We start from the raw sequence: 6,748 nt of genomic DNA, 5'->3' as shown, positions 1-6,748 counted from the left end.
GCAACCTGTAATCCTTTGTTGGTTTTGGGTTTTTTTTTTTTTTTTGAGACAGGGTCTCGCTCTGTCACCCAGGCTGGAGTCCAGTGGCACAATCATGGCCCACTGCAGTCTCAGACCCCTAGCCTTGGCTGGGCACGGTGGCTCATGTCTGTAATCCCAGCCCTTTGGGAGGCCGAGGCAGGTGGATCACCTGAGATCAGGAGTTCGAGACCAGCCTGGCCAACATGGCAAAACCCTGTATCTACTGGAAAAAAAAAAAAATTAGCCAGGCATGGTGATGTGCACCTGTAATCCCAGCTACTCAGGAGGCTGAGGCAGGAGAATTGCTTGAACCCAGGAGGCAGAGGTTGCAGTGAACTGAGATCGCACCATTGCACTCCAGCCTGAAGGACAGAGTGAGTCTCCATCTCAAAACACAAACAAAAAACCCTCCTGGCCTCAAGTGATCCTCCTGCCTTGGCCTCCCAAAGTACTGGGATTACAGGTGTGAGCCACTCTGCCTGGCCTGTAATCCTTTTAAAAGAAATCCTATCATTTCACTCACTTGTTCATAACCCTCCAAAAACTTCCATCATATTTAGAATAAAATCCAAGGTGCTTTCCAATGGCTTATGAGCCCCTATATCGGCAAGCAGCTAACCATGGCCAATGTGCCAAATCTGGCTCACTCTCTACTTTTGTAAATATAACTTTTACTGGAATGCAGCCATGCCCATTTTTCTATATAACATCTATGGCTGCTTTCCCACTACGACAGAGATGAGTAGTGGAGACAGACCCCTTTTACAACCTACACGCCAGCCATACCCGGCAAAAAATAAAAAATAAAAAAAATACATTTTTACAAAAAAAAGTTTGCAGAGAAGTTTCGCCAACCCCTGCCCTTCATGGTGTGCCCCTAGTCGTGCCTCGCTGGCTGTGTTCCAGCCACACCACCAGCCACCGCCCCTGCCCCCCGTCCCCACGCTTCAGGCCTCTGCGCTCGCACCACCTGCCTGGAACACACTCTGCCACGTAGCCCAGGCCTAGCTCCCTCATGCTCTTCAGGTCGCTGCTCCGACATTACCACCTGATTACCATCTAATTTAGACAAGACTTTGGATTTTAGAGTTTAGAATTGATGCTGGAATGAGTTAAGACATTTGAGGTTGCTGGGCGGAATTAATGTATTTTGCACGCAAGAACATGAATTGTGGAGGAGGGGTGGGATGATATTGACTGTTTGAGTTCCCCAAAAGCCATGTTGAAATCCTAACCCACAATGTAATAGTAATAAGATAGTAAGGCCCTCCTGGGGCCTTTGGGAGGCATCATGAGGGTAAAGCCCTCATGAATAGGATTAGTGTCATGAAAGACACCCCCAGAGAGCTCTCCTCCCATAAGCTTTTTAGAATGTGAGACTACAAGAAGACAGCAGTCTCAAGACAGCCTGAAAGAGGACATTCTCCGGAACCTGGGTATACTGACACCCTGATCTCAGAGTTTCAATCTACAGAACTGAAAATACATTTCTGTTGTTTATAAGCCACCCAGTCTATGCTACTTTGTTAGCAGCTCAAACTGCCTAAGATAACTGATTTCTCCTTTTTCCTCATTTGATTCCTCCTTCTTCTTCGAGTTCCTGCATTTTAAACAGAGTGGAAAACAATTAATCATAAAAACAGAAATACTGTACTTTAATTTTGCCTGAGAATGCTTAATCTAAGCTGATATAAATTGCATAACATACAGTCTGAGAATACATCCCTGATCCTTGTATCTGCTTAACTCTCATTCACACTAGTGAAGCCACGGCAATGGATGTTAACAAACTACTATTTATTTCTAATGGTGTGAACTTCCAGCTCCCAGTCCAGCATGTAAGGAGCTTGGAAGTCATCAATCCATCCCAGCAAGTAAAAAACTGAGCCGAAAATCAAGAACTCTTTTTGTGTTTTTTGAGACAAGGCCTGGCTCTATTGTCCAGGCTGGAGTACAGTGGCACAATCTTGGCTTACTGCAAGCTCTATCTCCCAGGCTCAAGCCATCCTCCCACCTCAGCCTTCTGAGTAGTTGAGACTACAGGCACATGCCACCACACCTGACTAATTCTTGTATTTTTTTTTGTAGACACAGGGTTTTGCCATGTTGCCCAGGCTGCTCTGGAACTCATGAACTCAAGCAACCCACCCACCTCTGCCTCTCAAAGTGCTGGGATTACAGGCGAGAACCACCACGTCCAGCAACAACTCTTCTTAAATCTGTCAAATTGCTGGAGGCTCAATGTGGACAAGTCTAAAAGTTTAAAAATCCAAAGGGCCCAGTCTTAGTGCCTACCATCCCCCTCTGCCCACATACTTTTGTGAGTTCATCTCCAGAACTTCTACCAGGTTCTCACAGTGAAGACAGAAAAAAAAACCCACACATTTTCAGCAGGGGGATGAGAAAACCAGCCATGTGGAATATACCCGGAGCATTCTGTTCTTAATAAGGCCTGCCCTCAAAGAAAAAAAATTCTTTAAGGGAAACTATTTAACCAGAGCTTAACTTACTAACGTTTTATCAGAGACCAACCAATTTGGGAAAGGTCCTATAGATGGGAACACTGAAACTCAGCCATCTAAACCACAGCCCCCTCTAGTCATCCTATCCCAATTAAAGAGGGGGAAAAACTGAAAAGCACTTGTAAAGGTCACAGCCCCAGGGGCACAAGTTCACTAAAAGACTGAGACATAATTGTAGGACTATAGAATGCTTCCTCATCCCCAACACTTCACCACCACTTTATTAAGGGCCTATTTATGACCACCTTTCAACAAATGTCCACCTTTCAACAAAAAAGTACAAGGCAAACCAAAAGGCAAAAACCAGTTTTTTGTTTGTTGTTTTGTTTTGTTTTAAGGCAGAGCGTCGCTCTGTTGCCCAGGCTGGAGTGCAATGGCGGGATCTCGGCTCACTGCAACCTCTGCCTCCTGGGTTCAAACAATTCTCCCACCTCAGTCTCCCAAGTAGCTGGGATTACAGGCACCCGCCATCATGCCTAATTTTTGCATTTTTGTAGAAACAAGGTTTCACCACGTTGGTCAGGCTGGTCTTGAACTCCTGACCTCAGGTGATCCACCTGCCTCGGCCTCCCAAAGTGCTGGAACTACAGGTGTGAGCCACCACATCCAGCCAAAAACCACAATTTTTTAAGAAACACAGACTCAGATATAGCAGAGACATTGGAATTATCAGATAAGAATTTAAAATAATTATAATTAATATGCTAAGGGCTCTTATGAAAAAAGTAAACAATGTGCAAGAACAGATGGGTAATATAAGCAGAAAAATGGAAATTCTAAGAAAGAATAAAAAAATGCTAGAAAGCAAAAAACACTGTAATAGAAATAAAGAATGCTTTTCATGGGTTCATTAGGAGACTGGACACAGGTGAGGAAAAAATCTCTGAACTTGAGGATATGTCAAAAGAAACTTCCAAAACTGAAAAGAAAAAGAAAGTGGGGCAGGGGCAGGGGGAGAATGGAAAAGGGAAAAGGAAAAGGAAACAGAATATCCAAGAAGTGGGATTCAAAGTAATGGCAAAGTGGCATTCAAAGTAATGGCAAAAACCACAATTACTTTTGCACCAACCTAATTAAAAATGTGTAAAATACATGTAATGGGAATACAAGGAGAGACAGAAGAACAAAGGAAATATATGAAGCAATAATAACTGATAATTTCCTAAAATTAATATCAGACAACAAACCACAAATCTAGGAAGCTCAGAGAACACCAAGCAGGATAAATGCAAAAAACTTGCAAGTAGGCATTTCATATTCAAACTGCAGAAAATCAAAGATAAAGAAAAATCTTGGAAAGAGCTAGAGGAAAAAACTCACCTTATCTACAGAGCACCAAGGATAAGAATAACATCATCCTTTTCAGAAAACATGTAAGCAAGAAGAGAGTGAGATGCTTAAAGCGTTGAGAGAGGGGGAAAAAAACCCCCCACCAATCTAGAATCCTATATCCTGTGAAATTATCCTTCAAAAATTAGGGAGAAATAAAGACCTTCTCAAACAAAATTTGAGGGAATGCGTTGCCGGTGGTCTTGCCTTGCAACAAATATTAAAAGAAGTTTCTCAGAGAGAAGGATAATGATACAGGTGAGAAACTCAGGTCTATATAAAGGAAAAAAGAGCAGTAGAGAAGGAATCAGTGAAGGTGAAGTATTTTTAATGATTTTGCAACATATTTATCTTGTTTGTCATCAACTAAAAGTCATTTCAATCCCTAGGCAATCAGTTGCATAACAACTGGAAATAGTTTCAAAGCATGCAGAGAGATGAGCAAAGCTTGGTTAGAATGTGTATGACACTGATTAATATACTTTCAAAGATGCTTATTCTTTTAACACAGCCTTGCAAAATACATTCAATTAACTATTTATCAAAGTGGCACATTAGTAAGATTTCTGGATTTATAGTCAAGCAGAACTGTTGCTGACTGTATGTCTTGGACAAGTTACCCAAGTATCTCATTTGTAAAACAAAAATAGTAAAACCCACATTTCATACATTAACTGTAAGGACTAAATGTGAAGGCTAAACAAATTCCCCTAGCCCACTGTCCAGCTAATTCTAAATGCTTACTACCCAGTTATAAATGCTATGAATCTTCCAACATCCTCATGCACTCCTTCATAAATTAGTTCAAAGCTAGCAAGTTTATGGCCAACCTCTGATAAGCATATAAAATTTAAGAGCATGCATTTCGTAGAGATCACTCCAGCTGCGCCTTACTTTAAAATTTTTCCTCTCTTATTTCTATTCATTTTTTAAATTGTTATCTTGCTGTATCATGAAACCTTTTTGAATTACGGGTGGGAGAAGATTAAAAGGTAAGATACCAAACTAATAGTTTTATATTTTTTCCAAGAGATGGATGAAACAACGCCAGAAACAGCGTTCTAGAAGTATCTCAACCTCTAATCTTCATAATCAAGTATCCAATGCAGGCCTGCTAGTCCATATTCCCAGCCACAGGAAGTGCCTGGTACACACATATTTGTTATATGATTCATTTCTGTACTTTCACTTTTTCCCTTTTCTGGCAAAAAAAAAAAAAATCAATTATTTCCTGTTTGTACAATCTGCTTGGAATACATGTCTAATGTTCAAATTTCGTTATAAACAGTAAATATCAACTAACTCTCTATGCCAAATGTCATTCTCTATTTCAGGAAATATCTCCTATGTTGCTAAGTTCCTATACAATCTACACAATGTCACAAAATAAGCCATCCATCATGCTGGAGGAAAAAAATAATTGTTGGCTCAGTCCCATGTTAATGAGCCTACTTTCCCCCAATTTGGAAATAGGTGTAGGCTGGACTTCTCTACCAGTTTGAATATGACATACCATAATGGCATACCATATTTTTGTGTATTTTAGTGTTTTAAGGATGTTTTTGGTGTTTTATTACTTCTCACAAAGATAAAATGGGAAATTTATTCTAGCACTGCTATTCTAGTACTTTAACATCCCACATAGAAAGAAAACATATATGGCTACTATAAGACCAATACATAGCCAGAAAGGCCACCACCTTCATGAGTAAGTTCAGGTACCCCCCACGATACCCAAGGAAGTTGGAACTGATTTAATAGGTAACATATTTTATTAAGAACTGTTAAAAAAAATTAATTTCCCCAGTAATGAATTCTAATATTTTCAAATCTTACTCTTCAGTAAGTCTTGAATGTTTTCAAAAAGTGATTTATTTTATGTTTTTCCCTCACTGGGGAGCAGGGCAGAACAGCAGCCTTTGGGCTAGTTTCCCCATCACCAGTCACGTAGGTACATCAAAACAGTTATCTTACCAGTAAATCTTTCACATAAAGCCCAAGCTCTAGCTTATTTGGAACACAAGGCCCTCAACAACTGGTCCTCTCTACCTCTTCAGACTTAGCTCCCACCACTCCTGGCCGTCACCTAGACACAAAGCTCTTGTTCCACTCTACAGTCACAGAAATCCCTGTCTTAAACCCCTCCATCTTCCCCTCCATTCCCCATCACTAAGTCCCAGGTATTACTTCAAAGGTAACCTCTGAGGTGAGCCTGCCTGAATGCTCTAGAGGTGGGTCAAGTGCTCTCTGTGCTTCCACATTACTCCAGGCGTACCTCCAACAGGGCACTTCACACTGTATAGAAATTACGCTAATGTCACTATGCTCTTCCTGTGCCCACATCTGGAAAGTGTAAACAAAACACCTTACTCATTTATATCCCAAGTACCAAGTATATGCTGGGTACTAAAAATTCATAAAATTGTGGTAAACTTTTTATATTTTTTTACATTTCCTGTTTCCTCTTGCAAATTTCACCTTATTCTTCCTACATCTTTTGAAAAATCACTTCCTGCTAGCCGGGTACAGTGGCTCATGCCTGTAATCCCAGCACTTTGGGAGGCCAAGGCAGACCAATCACCTGAGATGGGGAGTAGGAGACCAGCCTGACCAACATGGAGAAACCCTGTCTCTACTAAAAATACAAAATTAGCCGAGCATGGTGGCGCATGCCTGTAATCCCAGCTACTCAGGAGCCTGAGGCAGGAGAATCATTTGAACCCGGGAAGCGGAGGTTGCAGTGAGCTGAAATCGCGCCACTGCACTCTAGCCTGGGCGACAGAGTGAGATTCTGTCTCAAAAAAATAATAGAAATACCACCATGCCTGGCGTGCCTGTAAACCACTCAAAGTGCGGATCCCCCTGCCTCAGCCTCT

The sequence above is a fragment of the Homo sapiens genome, chromosome 12 (assembly GCF_000001405.40).
Source record: "Homo sapiens chromosome 12, GRCh38.p14 Primary Assembly".
Classification (NCBI taxonomy): Eukaryota; Metazoa; Chordata; class Mammalia; order Primates; family Hominidae; genus Homo; species Homo sapiens.
Note: the sequence above shows the minus strand (reverse complement) of the source record.